At 43.0% G+C, this 21,221-nt stretch overlaps 1 protein-coding gene across 8 annotated transcripts in view; it reads right to left on the reverse strand.

Annotated features, from left to right (window-relative positions):
• The window catches only part of VGLL4 (vestigial like family member 4), a 165,749-nt gene that overhangs the window by 94,165 nt on the left and 50,363 nt on the right, over nucleotides 1-21,221 (reverse strand). The window contains exon 2 of one of the 8 annotated variants that reach the window (XM_047449260.1): nucleotides 21,043-21,163. The exons of 6 other annotated variants lie outside the window; for them this stretch is intronic. In XM_047449260.1, the coding sequence (XP_047305216.1) occupies nucleotides 21,043-21,109 (67 nt within the window). In that variant the 5' untranslated portion in view covers nucleotides 21,110-21,163. Of the gene's footprint in view, nucleotides 1-21,030; nucleotides 21,164-21,221 lie in introns of all 8 variants that reach the window. One more of the 8 variants, NM_001284390.2, reaches the window with a different exon arrangement.

A 21,221-nucleotide genomic window follows, 5' to 3' on the forward strand; every position in this document is an offset into this window, starting at 1 on the left:
GCCCAATAAGTGCTTTATAAATGTTAATTATGGTTGTGCCTCAGCATCTTTGTGGAATAATGGCAATATGACGATAGAAGAAAGCCCAGGCTAATTACTAGGCTGATCTGTTTAATTAGCTAGAGGTTTGACTACCACTTTAGAATAGATCACCAAAACTGCGAGCTGTGTAATAAAAGCCAAATACTCTTCTATTTAATATCAGCCTGTGGAAAGAAAAGCCAAATGATCAAAATCACTCCCCAGACATTTATTTAAAATAAAATGCTTTCATTTGAGCACTTGAAGAGAGGGGAAAGTTTTAATGTTAAGTCTAACATAACATCTCCAAATACCACATTAGAAAATATGAGTAACCCTACTGCGCTATCTGTTTCCCCTACTGGGTTCCGCTGTGCTCTTCCTCCCAGGGTTTCAAGTAAGCTGGATATTTAGTTAATACTTTCATTTTAAAGTGCTTTTTTTCTCTTCTTGCTACACATAGAAAACACACACACACACACACACACACACAGACACACACTTTAACCTGATGTAAATAATATTCAAAACAGACCTTACTAATAACAAGAAAATAAGTTTGACTATTCCTTGAGCTAAAGCATCAGTTAAACAATAAGTTGGAGGTGCAAAACTGTCATGTTTCAGAGGATCTCTAGGTCCGTCGCAATTTACCAGCACATTCCTCAGTGTACTAAGAACAGTACCAATGATGATGATGATGGTGGTGTTTGTAAAACACTACACTGGTCAACACATTTTTGCTTCGTAATCTACTTAATTTAATTACTAAGACAAGGTTGTAAGAAGGAAAGCATAGAAAAGGGTTTAAGGGACCAGGCGCGGTGGCTCACGCCTGTAATCCCAGCACTTTGGGAGGGCGGGTGGATCACCTGAGGTCAGGAGTTCGGGACCAGCCTGACTAACATATTGAAAACCCATCTCTCCTAAATACAAAAAAATTAGCCAAGTGTGGTGGCAGGTGCCTATAATCCCAGCTACTTGGGAGGCTGAGGCAGGAGAACTGCTTGAACCCAGGAGGCGGAGGTTGTATTGAGCCAAGATTGTACCATTGCACTCCAGCCTAAGCGATAGAGTGAGACTCAAAAAAAAAAAAAGAAAGAAAGAAAAAGAAAGAAAAGGGTTTAAGGTAAAACCTAGCATTGAGTAATAAAAAAGGAAGACTTAAGAAACCAAACTTTCTTTTCTTTTAAACATTGTTTAGAATGCAAATTCCTTAAAGGCCTAGCTGAATTACCAACCCCCCGCCCCCACCAAGAACCATTAGCTAGGATTAATCTCTTCATCCTGCATTATTTTAGGTTTATTCTATACTTCATTCTAAAACAAAGCAGACTATAAGATAGTTTCTGTGTCTGTCCCCTACCATATTATAAAGACTGCTTTGTACACGGTAGGTCAACAACTAAGCTGCTGAGTTAAAGGAGAAACCAAAACAAAACAAACTTCAAATGCCTTAAATATCAATGACGTACAGTAAGTACCAGGGAGTAGCTGATTTAAAAAAAAAAAAAATCAGCGACATAAACCAAATATCTAATAAGCTCCCTTTGTTGTTACTTTCTTTTAAGAATTCCTAAATATATCATAAAATAGTGATTATTTATACAACTTGGGGCTGCTCAAGGATGATTTTTTTAAAAGGACAGTATTTTGTGGAATTTTTCACAAAAGCAAATATCATTAAACTATGTCTTAGATTTTATTATTTACAAAATACTACCATTTGTAAGTTAAAACACACTCAACTTCTATTAAGTAGCGACTGATCATTCTCTGTAATATAAGATTTTAACACAAATCTATGGACTTTTCAAAAACTTTAAATGGGTCTTCAGATCATATTTAAATTTTCAATACAACACCACCCTCTAGGGGTGAACTTTAAATTACAAAGACCATTTTGAAAAAGCAAACTGCAGAATTCGTGCTATTCTTGCCTGATGTGCATTATATTTCAAATACAAAAATAAACCTTATTTTATTTAATATTAAAATTCATAGAAAATATCTTTTAACAAATAGTTTAATTCTTACTAAACTCTGCAAAAGTTAAAACAAAATACAAAATCAATTAAATTGATGCCAAGTGATTAAATAGGAAATGTGCTTTCACATAAATTTAACCTTAATAATCCTAAAAAGTGCAGACTGGGAATGGTGTTTTTTGTTTTTTTGTTTTTTTGACATGGAGTCTAACTCTGTTGCCCAGGCTGGAGTGCAGTGGCGCGATGTCTGCTCACTGGCAACTTCTGCCCCCCGGGTTCAAGCGATTCTCCTGCCTCAGCCTCCAAAGTAGCTGGGATAACAGGCACGTGCCACCACGCCCGGGTAATTTTTGTATTTTTATTAGAGATGGGGTTTCACCATGTTGGACAGGTTGGTCTCGAACTCCTGACCTCAAGTGATCCGCCCATCTCAGCCTCCCAAAGTACTGGGACTACAGGCTAAGGAATGGTGTTTTAAATAAATCAGAATAAATCAGTGCGAGGGAAGGGAATTTAATTAGATTAGCATCCCCAAGAAAAGAGAAATCTCTTGCAAAACACTTTAACTTGTTAGTTTTACAACTACTGTCTTACATGTTTGACAATACAAATATTTTCTTGCATGTTTACATACATGATTATTTTAGTGATTTTCGCTACTACAACCAATTTAGGTTCAGTAAGTCCCATTCAAAGAACATTCACAATTAAAACGCTATTCTGATATTCACTTTGTACCAAGTCATAATTACTCATAGATGTATTCCTGCAAGATTGACTAGAACTGACTTCCATGGTAAAAATAGAAGAACTGGAGAAAATGTCCCAAATATTCAACAACTGAAGGGCTAAGTTCGCTGCTAGCCCCAATGTGTGACCCAACTTCATTTCACAGGTCAGTCTGCCTGCACAGTGCTTCATTCATTATGCAGCACGCTAAGCACCTCCACAGTCATCCTTCCAACCAGTTAGGGTGCCGTCCAGGAAAGAGAAATCATGGCTGTTATTTATATAGGGAGAATTTTAATGTATCCCACCTCCACCTATTCCTTCTTCCAGTAACTACCCCCATAGGGTAACTTACTATCCTAACCTTTAAGAACGTAGATCAGTTGTATAACACTTTATAGAAAGAGAATCGTATGATGCTAGCTACTCTTGTGGCTGGATTCCTTCACTCCACATATTTTATGAGTGGTAGCATTATTTTTATGTGCAGTTGCATAGCATTCATTTGCATTGCTGTCTAGTACTCCATTACTCCAATATATCGCAGATCCTTCATTCTACCACTGATGGGCATTTAGGTAGTTTCTACCTGGGGGTTATTATAAATAGTGCTGCTATGAATATTCTAGTGTGTGTCTCTTATCAGCCTCGGAATGCATTTCTGTCGCACATGTACTCAGAAGCAGATACGCAGAAAGTGTATGTTCAGCTTAAGTAAATATTGCCAAATAGTTTTCCACAGCAGTTGTACCCGTTTATACTCCTACCAGCAGGGTATGAGATTTCAAGTTGCTCCCCATCCTTGCCAACAGTTTTCCAACTCTTTCATTCCTGTTATTCTGGTAGGTCTGGAGCAGCCACACTACGACTTTACTTCGCACTTCTCTGATGGACAGTAAGAACTCTGTGACACTTGTAGCAGGCAGAGGGATAGAATTCACCCGAGACAACACAGAGGGAAGGGCCCCGGCCAGAGGCTCTCAACCAAGGAGATTCTGCCCTCCTCAGGAGACATCTGGCAATGTCTGGTTATTTCAAATTTGGGGGTGTTGTTAACATCTAGTGGTTAGGAGCCAGGGATGCTGCCAAACATCCTACAATGCATAGGACACCCCCCACCACCACCACCACAACAAAGCATTATTTGGCAAAAGTGACAATAATGCCACAAATCAAGAAACCCAAATCAAGCAAATCATTATTGGGCATTTTCTCCTTAGCCAAATCATCATTCTCTGATACAGCACAAGAGGTCAATGTCCTATTGTCTTAAAATGTTATTTTTCCTAGAGTTGAGGGGATAGAAAGACAACAAAGGATACTAAGTGCCACACTCCATGGCACAGTGCATATCTTCTGCATATCCTGTTTCTTTCTCAGTTCTCGCGACAATGCGGAGATGAGGAAACAGATACCAAGCAGGCTCCTTGGCTCCTCTAAACTCACGCAAAGAGCAGCAGAGCTGGGACCAGAAGCTGTGATTTTCCACTGCACCCAGGGTCTTACTTTTAACTAAAAATAAGGGGAGTTTTTAGAGTCCACAATTCCTGTTAACTTGCAAGGCATGAATTTTACCTTATTAGCTTTGCAAAAGGCAGGCAAATAAAACGAGGTATGAGAAAAAGATCATTTGCAATGTTAAGATTATTAACCTGCACCTGTAAGTATCTTAAAATATTTCAACAAATCCACCTTCCTCATCACACGGTGATCTCTTTGAAATGAAACCCATACCATATTTTTCTTTGTCTATGCCCAATACCTGTAAGAGCAGGCATTCAACAGTTAACATGTCCTGGATTAATTACTGGCCTGAAACCCCAGTGAGAGAAGACAGAATCTTTATAAAACAAGCAGGTGGTTTAGATTTTATTTCATCACCAACACAACTATATTTAGTAACATTAACTAGAATAAACGGTTTTTGTTGAAAAATATTCAATTAAGTCAAATAATGGCCAATACCACAAAATTCTTTTTGAAATGCAAACAATTCAATTTTTCCAAGGATGAGTTTGCCAGCATTACCTTATCCTCCTGTGGATCTTCTATTTGAGGCTTCTATTTGTGAGGCCATTGGCATTATTAGGGCCAACAGAAATCCACCCACTATTAGAGCAGTTTTGAACCGTGGCCATACATTACAATCACCCAGGAGGTTTTGAAAGCCATGGGTGTCCAGGAGGATAATTTGGTAAATCTGCAGTAGATGAATTTTGAATTTACACCCAGGAAATAACTACACTTAGCAGTATCGTTTGAAAATAGCTACCCACGTAATTTTTGCAAGCTCCCCTCCCCTTAGGGGTCAGGACCACTACCCTGGAGATTCTGAACTGAACTGAGGAGGGCACCTGGCTGCTTTTCATACCCACCAGAGTTCAACATCCCAATGAGTTAGTTGCTCGTGGGCAGGACTAGGGGGCGACGTGAGCCCACCTAACAAACAGCCTGGCTTCCTTCCCACAGGGATGGCACCACCTGGTCATTTGTATTTAAACAATTCCCATCTGCTTTACACAGAAGGGGCAAACCAAACCCACCACCCCCATTCTCAGCCTATCTTCTTAAATTATCAACACCCAGTAGCTGGAATAGGACTTGAAATGGATAAACCTACCAACACTTGACTGCAGTGAGCCCAGAAATGGACAAGGCAGGATTTCCTGTTTACCCCACATAGGGTGGGGAGTGCGGGGACTAAGGGGTCCTAAGAAGAGACAGCATTTGCCGGAGGAAACAGTGGGGTTTCCAGTTTGTGTCTGGTTCCGGCTGGTGGCGGGGGGTTTCTAGTGACTCGTCTCACTGCATAGGAGCCTGCCCTCAGAGGACGCAGGCAGGTGTCATTTCAGGCCTGTGTACTCCTCTGATGAACGGCCATCTCCCTCCCATTCACATCCGTGCTGTTTTGCCTTATCATTGTTTCCCCAGCACCTAACACAAAGCCTGACACTGGTGGGTGACCACTAAACATTTCTTGAAAGAACAAATGGGAAGGGAGAGCTCCAGAATCTAAGCTGGGAACAGAGGAAAGCGAGAAGCCTAAAAGAAGGAGCGAACTGAAGAATGAAGGAAGTCAGGAGGGAGCGCAGGTGCACAGCTTTGTGATGCTCTGCGTGGTTACAATAAAGAGATGATCAAAGTATGATTTCCTGAAGCACATGGTCTATTGCCATACAAAGGCTCATGATCCCTAAGGAGGGGAGAATAATGAGAACAGGCCTACCAGGGAGCACACACGACAGACGAGGTCCATTCACCACACAGGGAGTGCTTCCCAAATATTAAAGTCCAGTTGCTCACTTAGGATGGAAGCAGGCCTCTGTGGAAAGTGACATCTGATTAAGTTTGAGGTGTGCCTTTTATATGAGTGGTTCTCTCCAGAGATGGTGTCCAACACAGGGAGGGATCCACGGTGACATATAAGGCCCCCGGAGGCTAGAGGAGTTCCCAGGGGTGCTGGTGTTGGCAGGGCCTTTAGGCTGGAAGGCTAACAGGCTAGGAGCACCTGAGCTGGGGATCTTTGCAGAAGGGGCTGGCAGAGCTCAGCCTGCTGTGGCTAAGCCCTCAACGTATCTGTCAAACTCTAGAGCTGAGATGTCCACTGGGGTGCAGTAGCTGAGGTCAGTAACTCCTATAGGGTCTGACAGTGTGTGGTGTCGCATTCTCGAGGGGAGGGAGAGCACACCCCAAGTTCTCACCACAGCAAAGCAGGCCACTCGCATAGCAAGCCAGGTAAGCACTGGGAGTCACTTCAAAGCTCCATACCATGTGAGAACCAGGGATGGCTTTGAGAAAGAACTAGGTTTCTAGCCAGGCTCTGAGGACTAGCCACAATCCAGGCTCTCAGAGAAGCAAGATGACTGTGACCCCAGCAACAACGAAGCACGGCCCTGGTCAGGCATTCAGATGCCAGGAAAGAGAAGAGGGGGTCTGGAAAGGAAGGACTGACCCGAGGAGGAGAGGACTGTCCTAAGAGCGTCTGCAGGGAGGCTGGGAGTAGGCAGCAAGGAGGTAAGGAAGGCCAGCCTGGAGCTGAGAGCAGTGACGGGCCTCCCAAGCTGAGCCCTCTGTACTCTTCACACTGCTTTCTAGCAAAAAGAGCACTGGATACAGAGTCAGAAAAATCCAGTTCCCAGGCCATAACCTTTGCTAGCCATGCAATCTTCATCAAGTGATTCCACCTCTCTAAGCTTGGATGTCCATCTCGGCAGCCTCTGTGTTGTCTGCCCGAGCCCTAAAATCCAAGGACTCCGATCATTCCTCTTTTCCCTCTCCACTCTTCCCCACCCAACCACAGGCCGCCATTCACTGCAATCTCAAGACAGAATGTCATGTTTTATAGAATACACGACGGTAACTGGTATTTCTAGGAGGGTTGGCTCCTGGGTTTATGCTGTTTTTCTTACAAATGTGGCAAGCAAATGAGAGCTTCACCTCCCAAGACAAAAAAATAAAAAAGAGACATTTTAATCTTAACAATGGGCATGAAGAATACTGTTTGGCTCATTTTCCTGCTGGTATGAATTAACAATAACAATTACAGGGAACAATGGTGAGAGGATCTTAACTAACCCAAAGTTCTCTGTGTCTCTGGAGAGAACACTGAGGCAAAACAGCTGCTAACTAGGAGGAATCTGGCTTTCTCTTCCGTAAAATGAAGAGATCTAAAACTCCTGGCTGTCACTAGTTCTAGGTGAGTCTGGCTACTAGAGGGTTAAGGAGACTAACCCTTTCACCCATAAAAGTTTCAGGTGTAATCCTATTACTTTGGAATGGCTAGCAGTGTTCTACGAAACTATTCAAGGATTAAGGTTAGAGAATGCCTGTGCCCTATGGTACAGGCTGCCATAAAGAAAATTATGATCCTAGATGCAGTGATGCCAATTTACATGGTATCTACATAAATGATTCTTCCAGCTCCCTCTTCTCCATTTTCTCAGTAAAACAAGTTTTTTGTTAGTTTTTCTTCTTGAGACAGGGTCTTGCTCTGTTGCCCAGGCTGTAGTGCAGTGGTATGAACCCAGCTCACTGCAGCCTCAACCTCCGGGACTTTAAAAAAGGCGATCCTCCAACCTCTCAGTCTCCGGAGCAGCTGATACTACAAATGTGCACCACCACACCTGGCTAATTTTTGTATTTTTTTGTAGAGATTGTGTCTGGCCACGTTGCCCAGGCTGGACTGGAACTCCTGGGCTCAAGCGACCCACCTGCCTTGGCCTCCCAAAGTGCTGGGATTACAGACGTGAGCCACCATGCCCGGCTAAAACAAGTTTTTAAGAGGGAGAGAAATGAGCAAATACAGCATTGCACCTGCACGTTCAGGACTGTCTACTCCCCAAAGCAATAATCAAACTACCATATTTTATTTATAGCTGCTCTCAAGGCACAACTGCTTCCAAAGTACAAGCTAGAACATTTCTAGTTTGGTCTGGAACCACAAAGGAAAGGTACACCAACATGCTGTACCTTGGAAAGCTGACCTGTAAAACGGAAGCCTTCTTCGTAATATTTAACCAAACACAGGGCCTGACACCTTCCAGTCCTCTTCTGACAGATCACTGCAATATGTTTGCTGTTTTAATATCATGATTAATTAAAGAGCCAGCTGACAATTTTACAAACTAGGAAGGACACAGAGGAAACAGAATACGCGAACTATTCCTGGATCTTTCCTTTTATCCAGCCGGCATGTGGCACGCTATTCTTCATGAGTGAGAAAATCCATGCCCTAAATTCTCACTCATAAATGCATATTTAGTTAATATTGAACAAAAAGAAAATAGTCCAAATAATTTGTCAGATATGCACTTATAAAACGCACTGAGTCAATGAATGCAAAAATATTTTGAAGAGCCAAAAAGTGCTATCAGCTGCTAATAGAAGACACTAGACAAAGTACAGCATCTAGAATTGTTTTTATTGAGAGAAGAATTTTGCTGAGCCCAGAAGCAGAAACATCCAACATAGGTACCTAACACCACACACATACAGCACCTCCAGGCGTCAGGCACAACTATCCTGCCCAGAGTCATGATACAGGTGAACACCTAGAAGTTAAACCCAATATATATACAATTTCCATGCCTCTAAGAATTATTTACTTGTGTCTGGGACCCTAGACATACAGCAAGCAAGGCATTCAAACAACATGAATAGAGTGCCACGTTAACGAAGATCTCACTCCACTGGCCCAGAAGGGATTGGGATCCAAAGATGAGTAAGACACAGTCCCTGTCCTTGAAGAGTATATCACAGAGGGCAGAACATAAGACCTACAAACAAACAATAGAAGGCAGAGGGAGGACAAATCCTATTTTCTTTTTTTTTTTCTGTTTTCTTTTCTTTTTCTTTTTCTTTTTTTTTTTTTTTTTTTTTTGAGACAGAGTTTTGCTCTTATTGCCCAGGCTGGAGTGCAATGGTGTGATCTCGGCTCACCGCAACCTCCACCTCCCGGGTTCAAGCAATTCTCCTGCCTCAGCCTCCCGAGTAGCTGGGATTAGAGGCATGCACCACCACGCCCAGCTAATTTTGTATTTTTCAGTAGAGACGGGGTTTCTCCATGTTGGTCAGGCTGGTTCTTGAACTCCTGACCTTGGGTGATCCCCCCCGGCTCGGCCTCCCAAAGTGCTGGAACTACAGGCGTGAGCCACCACGCCCAGCTTCAAATCCTATTTTGAAGGGACTTGGGGATTTCATAAAAAAAGTGGCATTGGCATGGGCCCTTAAAAGAACAAGATCTCAAAGCAGGTTTGAGGAATGCGGCATTCTAAACACAGTACTTCAGTAGACACAAACAAAGTATTTGCTATAACCCATTGATTATTGCATGAGCAGATTAAGTGAATTTTAACTGATTACTAAGAACAAGAGTTCCGTAAACTGTAAAACTATTTAAAATTTCCCATCTTGGCCGGGCGCGGTGGCTCACGCCTATAATCCCAGCACTTTGGGAGGCCGAGACTAGTGGATCATGAGGTCAGGAGATTGAGACATCCTGGCTAACACGGTGAAACCCTGTCTCTACTAAAAAATATAAAGAATTAGCCGGGCGTGGTGGTGGGCACCTGTAGTCCCAGCTACTCAGGAGGCTGAGGCAGGAGAATGGTGTGAACCCGGGAGGCGGAGCTTGCAGTGAGTGGAGATCGCGCCACTGCACTCCAGCCTGGGCGACAGAGCGAGACTCCATCTCAAAAAAAAAAAAAAAATTTCCCATCCTGCCAGCCAGCAGTTAGCTAGAAGCAGGTTCTGATCTTGGTTCTGCCACAGACTGGCTGCGTGAGTTTAGGCGTGTTACAGAATCTCTCTGATCTACTTCTGCATCTTTGAAAAATTTGGATAATGATACAGCCTGACCATTCTCCTTTGATCATACCACTTTTCTCATGGCATTTAATATGGCCTACTATAATTACACATGGCTTTATCTCCCCTGTAGACCAAACCAAGAGCTCCTGAGGGCAAAGGCCTTTGCTTATTTACTCTGAAACGCAGCCCAGTGCTAGCTGTGCTAGCAGACACATTGTCAATGCCAGCTTCTACCCTTTCTGTTGGATTCCCACTTGCTATGAAAATCCTTTCCTTTGTTCTACAAAGTACACTGTTCTTCAAATCATGAAGTAACCCAGTTTCAAAATTTTAGTTTTACTTTGTAAGTTTCAGCATATCTCTATCCCAGTATGGTGGGGTTTCTTGTTGTTGTTGTTTTTGTTTTGTTTTGTTTTTAATATTGTAAATGTTATAGGTTTCAAAGATTATCTATTTGGGAACTTGGGCATAAACTCAACATATATACTTCTCATGCTTCCAAGTACTGGAAGCATGTGGAATCTGAGTGGAAAAATCATTTAAATTTAGCTTTAAAAATTAAAAAATTAAATAACGTTGGGATCCAAAGGAAAGACTCTTAAACTTTATGTTAACTGAACTTTCATTTCGGCCTTGTTTCCAATAGATTGAGAAAAAGATTGAATACCAAACAGCAACAAAAGCAGCCCATGATGCATTTCAGTGTCATCAGGGTGGCTGTGGGGCTGAATTGTAGGATTATGATAGCCAAAATTCTTTACAAAACTGAACACTACCCTGCTAGTTGATCGATTCAAACACAAAGTGTGAGCAGCAGTCAAAATTCCTTCTGTCCTAGAGAGAAGAAATGCCCTCAGGATGGAGGGCTGGAAAGAAAGCTCTCTGAGGCGGCTGACTGCAATGAAGGTTGCCAGTGCCCCCCGACTCCACCCCAGCTCCTCCCAGTCACAACCACTCAGCAGGCTGGTAACGCAGAAAGAACGATCCACATTGAAAACTGAGTCATCATGAGAAAGGCTCCATCACAGACAATGCAAATAAGGTACAGGACAAAGGAAGGAAAGGAATATTGCCAAGAAAAGGTCAATGAAGACACACCAGACAGCCAGAGAGATTATGCTGGAAAGAATTGGAAAGTTATGAACCAACATTTTTCCTTTTATTTATTTATTTATTTATTTATTTATCTATTTATTTATTTATTTATTTTTGAGAGGAAGTCTTATTCTATTGCCCAGGCTGGAGTGCAGTGGCATGATCCTGGCTCACTGCAACCTTTGCCTCCTGGGTTCAAGCGATTCTCCTGCCTCAGCCTCCTGGAGTAGCTGGGACTACAGGTGTCCACCACCACGCCCAGCTAATTTTTGTGTTTTTAGTAGAGATGGGGTTTTGCCGTGTTGGCCATGCTGGTCTCCAATCCCTGACCTCAGGTGATCTGCCCGCCTCGGCTTCCCAAAGTGCTGAGATTACAGGTGTGAGCCACTGCGCCCAGCCTGAACCAATATTTCTCTATGAGACTTTAAAAAATAGGCATAGCCTCCCTGAAACAGGAACTCAAATAAGAAACAGGACAACAAGGGGAGATTAAAAGATAGCAAAGTTCAGGGAAGAAATGAAGTTCAAGAAGAGTGAGGCAATCCCGGAAACGGATGCCGCACTAAACAGCAATAAAGGAAGTGGAGACACTGATGGAAACACAACCAAATATATGGAGGACACATTCCAGAAAATCCCAGTGATTGGCTCAAGAAGGAGCACATGACTCACAGACATTAGCTGCAGACTTTCTGGAACAAAGCCCAAGAAAGCTATCAGAAGAAACATTCTCCCTGGCTAACATTATGTCGCCAGCTGCTACCACGGTGGAAGTCAGCCCAAAGACAGGGCCACATAACAAGAAAACCCCAAGAGAAATGAAGGCAGAACCTGAGAACACCATGATCCTCTGAGTCAAACTGCACCCGAAGCCCACCAGACCTTCAGACTTTTCAGCTATGTGAATCACTAAATTCCTTTTATTTTAAAAAATTCATTAGAATAAGTTTTCCATTACTGGCAATTGAAAGCTTCTTGATACACTTAAGAACAGCTGAAATGAAAAAAGCAAAATGTTCGTAATTCTAAAACAATACATTGGGAAGGCAAACAACTGAAAAATTATTCAAAACAGGAGAATGTAGTAAGGTGGCTTATTATAAAATGGATTTATCAAAATCCAATATGAAAACAACATTTTATGTGCAGTAGGCACAATCCAATGGCCAACTCAAAATATACTCCCAATTCCCTTCTCCCACTGCCTCCACTAGAGGGACTGAGAAAGCTGAATGCTCTCTATTCCACAATTTCTCCTAACTAGGAGTGCCATGTAATACGGATCTGGCCAATGAGACAGGAACAGAAGTCTGCTTTGAGCTTCTGGGAAAGTTTTTGCTTTTCTTAATTAAAAAAGGCCAGATATGGCTCATGATATCTCATTTTCTCTCTCCTTGTCTTACTGCCTGGAATGCAAATGTGATGCCTGGAGATAAGGCAGCCATTTTGTGACTGTGACATGAAAAGCAGGAGAAGGCTACAAAATAAACAACAGTGATTACCTCAGAAAAACTAGGAACTTGAGATGGGAGGGACTTTCTTCACAAACCGAGTTTTCTTTTTTTAAAAAACACATTTTATAACATAAACTAGGAAATAAAATTATTTTGGAAATATAAAGGAAAGATTATTAGGGTTTGCTTGCAGTAGTTAGGAGGTTTCTGAGAGGGGAAGAGTAAAAGTTGGGAAAGCGAGGCAGCAGAGTAAAAGGTGATCAAGCTATGAAAACAACATGAGCCAGGAGTTTACTGAAGCAGAGTTTTTCAAAGTAGAAAGCAGTAGAATATACGAGTGAAAAGATAAAGGGGGCTGGAGGATGAGGATAAGCCAGACAGAAATCAGACCTGACTCTACAGTGATGGACACTCCTGAATAGTCCCTAGAGGTTCCTTTTTAGCAGGGCCGGGGAAGTGGTACAATAAAAACAAAGTTTGAAGTCCAGGATACAGAATAAGTTGGCGTTTAAAGCTAAAGAAAACAGAAGTGAAAATCAGAACAAATTCATCCAATTCAGTTCTCAAGATTTCAAGATTAAAACTGCAACATTTAACTGTAAGAATCCTAGGCAAGGCGCGGTGGCTCACGCCTGCGATACCAGCACTTAGGGAGGCCGAGGCAGGCAAATCACCTGAGGTCAGGAGTTTGAACCAGCCTGGCCAACATGGCAAAACCTTGTCTCTACTAAAAATACAAAAATTAGCCAGGCGTGGTGGTGGGCACCTGTAATCCCAGCTACTTGGGAGGCTGAGGCGGGAGAATAGCTTGAACCTGGAACACAGTGGTTGCAGTAAGCCGAGATCATGCCACTGCACTCCAGCCTGGGTGACAGAGCAAGGCTCCACCTCAAAATAAAAAAGTAAAATAAAATAAAGAAAGAATTTTATTGCTGTACACACTGAAGGGTTTGGACGGTTCTGTTATTACATACTTTCTTTACATATCCTTGTTTCTGAAGTAAGCAAAACAATGGAATTTAATTTCTCTATGCTGTAAGAAAACACATTTGTCATTTCTTTTTACATTTCATTAAAAGTAATGGCAAAAAACACAATTACTGTTGCACCAACCTAATACAATGTAATGTAAAAAGAAATGTAGGCTGGGCGCAGTGGCTCACAGCTGTAACCCCAGCATTTTGGGAGTCCAAGGCGGGAGGATCACCTGAGGTAAGGAGTTCCAGACCAGCCTGGCCAAATCTCTACTAAAAACACAAAAATTAGCCGGGCATGCTGGTGCACACCTATAATTCCAGCTACTTGGGAGGCTGAGGCAGGAGAATAGCTTGAACCCGGGAGGCGGAGGTTGCAGTGAGCCCAGATCGCACCACTGCACTCCAGCCTGGGCGACAGATCAAGAGTCCGTCTCAAAAAGAGAAAAATAAAAAAGAAATGCAGCTGCAAATAGAACAGAAGCTGGACACAGACTGGTCCCTGGAAGGAAGGCAACCAGAGTCCAGTGCACTACTTTTGGATAGGGAGGTAATCAAGAGAGCACTCTATGGGGAGTCCAAAGACCTGGACTCTGGTTTCAAGTCTACCTCTAGCTCCCATGTGGCCCTGGGCAATCACCTCTGCTTTCTGAAGCTCAGCATGCTCGTCTGTAAAATAAGGGAATTGGACCAAAAATTCGCTACAGTCCTTTTCAATTCTAAATTCTGTGAATAGTTTACTTCAGCCTTGGAGCTGGCAGGGACGGTGGCTGAGAGAAGAATCTGGGGACCAGGGCTGGAGAATCAGGGCTGAATAACGTGGGACTGTGCAGTAAGGGGTCACCCATGAAACCTGGAGTGTGTATCCATCTAATAACACCATTTACATTCTTGAATATTCCGGAAGTCCTACACTTAGGAAGAGGTACTACCAAATTCCCTATTTGCCCTGAATATGGGGACACATAAGAGCTATAGTAACTATAAAACATGTTTTATAGATCTTTTTTAAAATTGTGTAATTAGTGCCTTAATATGTATGACAAAGAGTAAAAATTCATCCAGCACGCCATGATCTTCAGCCAATTCATACCAGTAACTAGTGATCAGGCATCCCAATTTTCTTTTCTCTATTTTTTTTTTTGAGATAAGGTCTGGCTCTATCACCCAGGCTGGAGTGCAGCAGCAACTACTAGAGATTGTCTTAAATGTCTCTAGTTAATTTCTAAATCATTTTGATTAATTCCAAAATAAAGTTCCAAATGCTGTTCACCAAAATGAAAGCAATTTGAATATTTTTCTTTTTTTTTTTTTTTTTTTTTTTTTTTTTTGAGACGGAGTCTCGCTCTGTCACCCAGGCTGCAGTGCAGTGGCGCCATCTCGGCTCACTGCAAGCTCCGCCTCCTGGGTTCACGCCATTCTCCTGCCTCAGCCTCCCGAGTAGCTGGGACTACAGGCGCCTGCCACCACGCCTGGCTAATTTTTTGTATTTTTAGTAGAGACGGGGTTTCACCGTGTTAGCCAGGATGGTCTCGATCTCCTGACCTCGTGATCCGCCAGCCTCGGCCTCCCAAAGTGCTGGGATTACAGGCCTGAGCCACCGCGCCCGGCCAAACATCTTAATCCACTCTAAAAAGTCCCCCATATTGAAATCCCAACATGCCTTCATACACCTGCAGCTTCACCAAAGCAACTTCACACTGTGCTGCCAGCCACAGCCTGAGGCTGAGTGACTCCGGAGTGGCAGAAAGAGCCTGCTGAGCAGCTGTGGGGGAAGAGGGCATCCAGCATTGCTCCCTGCAAAGGAAGCCAAGTCCTGACCATGCCTGAAGGCGCCTGACAAAGTCTCCACAGAACACCACGGCCAGGAGAGGCTGTGACAGCACTCATTCATTCAGCATATATTTACTGATCACCTCCCAGGTGCCAGGCACTGTGCTAGGCACTGGAGATTCCACAGTCAACAAAATGAGACAAAACTCCCTCTTTTCGTGAGCTGCACATTCTAGTGTATGTGAAAGACAAATGAGAGAAATCAAAATAAAGCAGGAAAGTGCAAGCAAGGCACAGGTAGGGGCAAGAGACAAGGAAGGCTGCTCTGAGAAGGTGCCTCTGAGTGACGACAGGAAGGGAGGACACAATCCCCGAGGATTAGAAAGTTCATTCTGGGCCGGGCGCGGTGGCTCACGCCTGTAATCCCAACACTTTGGGAGGCCGAGGCGGGCGGATCACGAGGTCAGGAGATCGAGACCATCCTGGCTAACACAGTGAAACCCCGTCTCTACTAAAAATACAAAAAAAATTAGCCAGGCATGGTAGTGGGCGCCTGTAGTCCCAGCTACTTGGGAGGCTGAGGCAGGAGAGTGGCGTGAACCCGGGAGGCGGAGCTTGCAGTGAGCCGAGATGTGCCGCTGCACTCCAGCCTGGGTGAGAGCGAGACTGCGCCTCAAAAAAAAAAAAAAAAAGAAAGTTCATTCTGTGCTGCGGGAAAGCACATGCAAAGGCCCCGAGGCAGGAGGAGGCCAGCGTGACTTACAGGTCATGGAAGAGCCACAGTTCTTATCTCTGCATGAGATGGGAAGCTCCTGGAGGGCTTCCGAACAGAGCATGGCCAGAATCTGAGTTCCCATTTTAAAGGCCCACTCCAGCACCAGCGTGGAGAACAGAGAGAAAGGAGATGGAGTTAGAAACGGGAAAGCAGCTATCTGTGGACTAGGGTGCTAGTCACAGTGATGGCAAAAAGTGATCAGATGTGAGATATATCTGAAGGCAGAACAAACAGAATTTGCTAGCAGACAGTTTGAGATGTGAGAGAAACAGAATCGAGGATGACTGTAAACTTTCTGGGCTCCATAAAAGACAAATGCATATCTGGACATAATTACTACTCACACTGGACACAGGCTTGGAAATCCAGAGCCAAAGACATTCTGTAAACACCAAAAGGGCATCTCTAAGGACCTGAAAACCTACAGGCTTCTAAGGCTCCTTAAAACTCCAACCTTACAAAGAAATTCACTGTAATAAGTAGTTACTTACAAAACATGAATGCTACAACCCTCCTCTGTGCTCCCCTCCACTCCGGTGTGCATGCGCTCTCCTATCTGCGGCGCCTGCTCTCAGGTTCCCCCTCTCCAGCCTCCTTCCTGACTCCGCTTCCTCATTCCACACACCTTGATGCAGATCTTCTCCAAAGATCTAGCCTCATTTGCCCTTTCTTCTATCTCTACAGTCTTTCACTCAGCAATCTCAATCACTTCCAGCAACCATCTCTTCAAAGAAAAAGACCCCATAAATTTCTATCTCTGGCCTCTTTGCACCACAGGTTGAGAATTCAAATTACATCCTTGATGCTAGTAGTGCAGATGCCTGCCGCATCTCAAACTCACAAAGCCCTACACTGAGACTCCAATCTTCCCATCTCTTTGGCTAAAGCCAGGGGCTTATGACTGAGTGACAGGTTACAGAGCTTGGGCTTCATTCCATAGGTTAACATGGTGCAAAATACGATTGCTGAGCTTTGCAATGATCTGTCCTTATCTTTCCTTCTGAACGTTCATACATGTTATCTGTTTAACCTCTTTAGCATGTCACCTTCTACCTTTATATTACGTACCTTTATATTAGGTAAATTGTGACATATACTATTTACATATTGACATATAGTATATGCTATGATCATTTATCATATACCATTTATCTGCATGTTTTATCTTACCTATTAGGCTATATCACCATTTAGGACCTATTGGATTTACCTTTACATAACTTCTGTGTACTACCAGTGTACAGGTGCTGCCCATAGAAAGGCCTCAATAAACATTTGTTTGATACAAAACACATGTGTAGAAGACCATGGAAAGCGACCAAACATCAAAGCCATCTCATTACAAATTTCTTCAAAAGGTGCTTCCTTTAAAACTCCCCCAGTATCATTATCCCTTGGGTTACATTTTCTTTGTTCTACAATTAACAAACGTTCCTTACAAATAGAGAACCTTTCTGACTCATTTCATGAGGGTCTCAAATTTCTATCTTCTTCTTTTTTTTTTTTTTTTTTTTTTTTTTTTTGAGATGGTGTCTCACTCTGCTGCCCAGGCTAGAGTGAAGTGGCGTGATCTCAGCTCACTGTAACCTCCGCCTCCCGGGTTCAAGCATTTCTCCTGCCTCAGCCTCCCAAGTAGGTGGGATTACAGGCACACACCACCACGCCTGGCTAATTTTTGTATTTTTTTGTAGAGACCGGGTTTCACCATGTTGCCCAGGCTGGTCTTGAACTCCTAGCCTCAAGTGATCTGCCTGCCTTGGCCTCCCAAAGTGCTGGGATTACAGATGTGAGCCACAAATCCAGCCTCAAATTCCTATCTTCAAGCCACAGGAAACAACTCATTTCTTCAAGATATAAATAAATAAATAAATAAAGAGCAAACAAACCCCAAGACTAGTATTTTGGAGGGAGACAGAATTTCAAATGTCAAAACAACTTTGCTCTCATCTTCTGAGATGCCCTTTAGGGTAACCATTTTTTCTAAATGCATCATGCTTACTATTGCTTGTGGAAATTTGCTTATTCAAATGATCCAATCCCTTCTCCTTGCTACTAAAAGTGCAGCCACCTACCAGCAGCATCAGTGGCAGCTGGGAGCTTGTCACAAATGCAAACTAACGAGCCCTATCCCAGACATACTGAGTCAGACTCTTTGGGGCCCAGGAATCTTAATTTAACAAGATCTCTGGGTAAACGTTTGAGAAGGACAGGCCTATCCCATGGCCAGAGTTACCTTTCGAAAACCCATCTCAACGTGTCATCAGAAACCTTCAATGGCCACAGTATAAAGTCCAAGCCTCTGCAGAAAGTGAAGGATCTTATCATTTAATTGCCACAATCTTCCCATTAAGTCAATCAGCATGTGTTGACCACCTGCTCACACGCCAGGCTCTCTTGCACGTTTGGAGAAGATAGCAGTGAACTTGGCTGACAGCCCTGCTCTCATGGAACTTACCTTCTCAGAGGGAAACTGACCTCAGAACTCATCTCCCAACTAACCATCCCATTACCTGTGTTCTACTCACACTGCTGTCTTCACCCTTCTCCAAGTACATCCACACATTTTACATTTCATGCCAGGGTTCGTGCTGTTTCAAACTCAATACCAACCAGGCTGAAATCATCCTCCTTACTCTGGGCTTCTGCTCGTCCTCTAACACAGCAAAGGCTGCATCCCTAGACTGTGATTCATATTTAAATGTCTTTTTCTCCTCTGCTGGGCAGTGTGAGCCTCAGGGGCAGAACCATAGATCCTTCATCCTTGTATACGTGGCACCTAGCCACATGGCTTAGAATAAATAGCATTTAATTAAATATTCTTAAAAATACAACTCAGGGATAGAATTTTGGCAGTGTTCAAAATGCTTCCTTTGGAAATCTTTAAATTTTCCTCTAAAGCCGGTGTGGTGGTGAGAGCCTGTACTCCCAGCTCAGGAGAAAGCCAGGAGGATCCTTGAGCCCAGGAGTTCAAGGTTGTGATGAGCTGTGACGCCACTGCACTCCAGCCTGTGCGACAGAGTAAGACCCCGCCTCTAAAAAAAGAAGAAAGTTTTCCTCTAAAGTCTAAGACCTTCTTTTTTAATGATATTCATTTAAATAGTGGAAAATATCCTTTGACAGTATAATTACAATTTTGGCAATGGTCTAATAAATGGTGTAAGAGGGTGATGAAGATGGGCAATGCAACTGCTATTCTAAAACGAACTTTAAATATTAATAGAACTCATTATTTTGGTACATTTTATGACTGAAGGCAACTCCAAAAATGTCTTGCACAGTGACAGCCTCACTGTAATATTTTTATTCTAGAGTAAGGAATTAGAATAACTTTTTTTTTTTTCATTTTATAGACACAGGGTATCGCTCTATAGCCCAGGCTGGAGAACAATGGTGTGATCACAGCTCATTATAGCCTCGACCTCCTGGTCCCAAGAAATCCTCCCATCTCAGCCTCCTGAATAGCTGGGACTACAGGGCACACACCACCATGTACTGCTAATTTTTTAATTTTTTGTAGAGATAGGGCAAGATTCCTGGCCTCGAGTGATCTTCTTGCCTTGGCCTCCCAAAGTGCTAAGATTACAGGCTTGAGCCACCACACCCAGCTAGAATATCACTCTTTTCAATGTTTCAATTCTGCCATGCTTTGGTAAAACTAAACAGAATCCCTCTTCCAGCAGGTAAATCTTCTGTTAAGACAATCATTCATGTTTTCAAGAATGCATTATGTATGGGAGGAGGGTGCGGGGAACATGTCTGTTTCTAAAACAAAAAAAAAAAAAGCAAGAATATTCAGATGCGGATGGGCTACCGTAAGTCTTCCCTATCATCCTCCCTTTTTCTACGCCCCTCCCACAACTTGGCACTTGAGGCACCTCCAGTGTTCCCTGGAAGACATTCAAAAGCAAAATAAATAATGGAAAGAAAACTGAAGTCTACGTTGGAAAACCTTTGTCCTAATCCCAAACGTTATGACCTCAGGAAAGTACTTCTACTGTCTGCACCTCAGTTTCTTAAAAGGAAAGCTGAGGTTCCTTCCAGTTTAAAATGCTAGCACTTTCGAATGTTTTCGTCTCTAGAGATGAGAGAACATGCCAATTCACCTGCGTCCCAACAGCCCTTTTGGGAGGTATGCACGCAGCTCTACTTAAGATTTGATTGAATGAAGTCACACACCATTAAACATTTTCAACATTCCTATCCTAAATATGCCTTCATTTTTGCATTACATATAAGTAATATAACCAATAGCTATAGTAAACATTACTGAGGCTTTCTTTTTTTTAAGACAAAAATAAGTAAATGTCTATACTGACTTCCCATACTGTCTTTGGAACCCACTGATTGAGAGACCAGTATCCTGCCTGGATATTAATGGGCACCTGCCACATAAAAGAGAGAGTGGTGGGCCAGGCACAGTGACTCACGCCTGCAATCCCAGCACTTTGGGAGGCTGAGGCTGGCGGATCACCTGAGGTCAGGAGTTTGAGACCAGCCTGGCCAACATGATGAAACCCCACCTCTACTAAAAATACAAAATTAGCAAGGTGTGGTGGCGCATGCCTGTAATTGCAGCTACTCGGGAGGCTGAGGCAGAAGAATTGCTTGAACCCAGGAGGCAGAGGTTGCAGTGAGCTGAGATCGTGCCATTGCACTCCAGCCTGGACGACAGAGATTCCGTCTCAAAAATAAATTTTAAAAAGGAGAGGGTGGTGCATTAAGGAGAGTCGACAGCAGCTGCCCCCGTCCTTAAGACCACAGTCAGGACTCAAGCACAAAAAGTGTTTTCATGAAGTAATGAGGCTTTAGATAAACATACCACACTTTTCTTTGCAATACTATTTTGCAAATTAATTAATTTCAATTAAGAAATGTCAATTAAGAAAATGTGAAAATCAAAAGAACATTTTTACCATGGTGCAGACCTGGATGTCTCCAACTTTTGAGTGCACAGGACTCAGGGATTTTGTCAAAATGCGTATTCTCAGTCATCAGTTCCGCAGCGAGGACTACGATTCTGCATTTCTAACAAGTTCCCAGGTGACGCTGTGGGCCACATGTAAGTAACAAAGAGGTAGAAAACACAGTTGTCCCTCAGTATTCG

The sequence above is a fragment of the Homo sapiens genome, chromosome 3, assembly GCF_000001405.40.
Source record: "Homo sapiens chromosome 3, GRCh38.p14 Primary Assembly".
Classification (NCBI taxonomy): domain Eukaryota; kingdom Metazoa; phylum Chordata; class Mammalia; order Primates; family Hominidae; genus Homo; species Homo sapiens.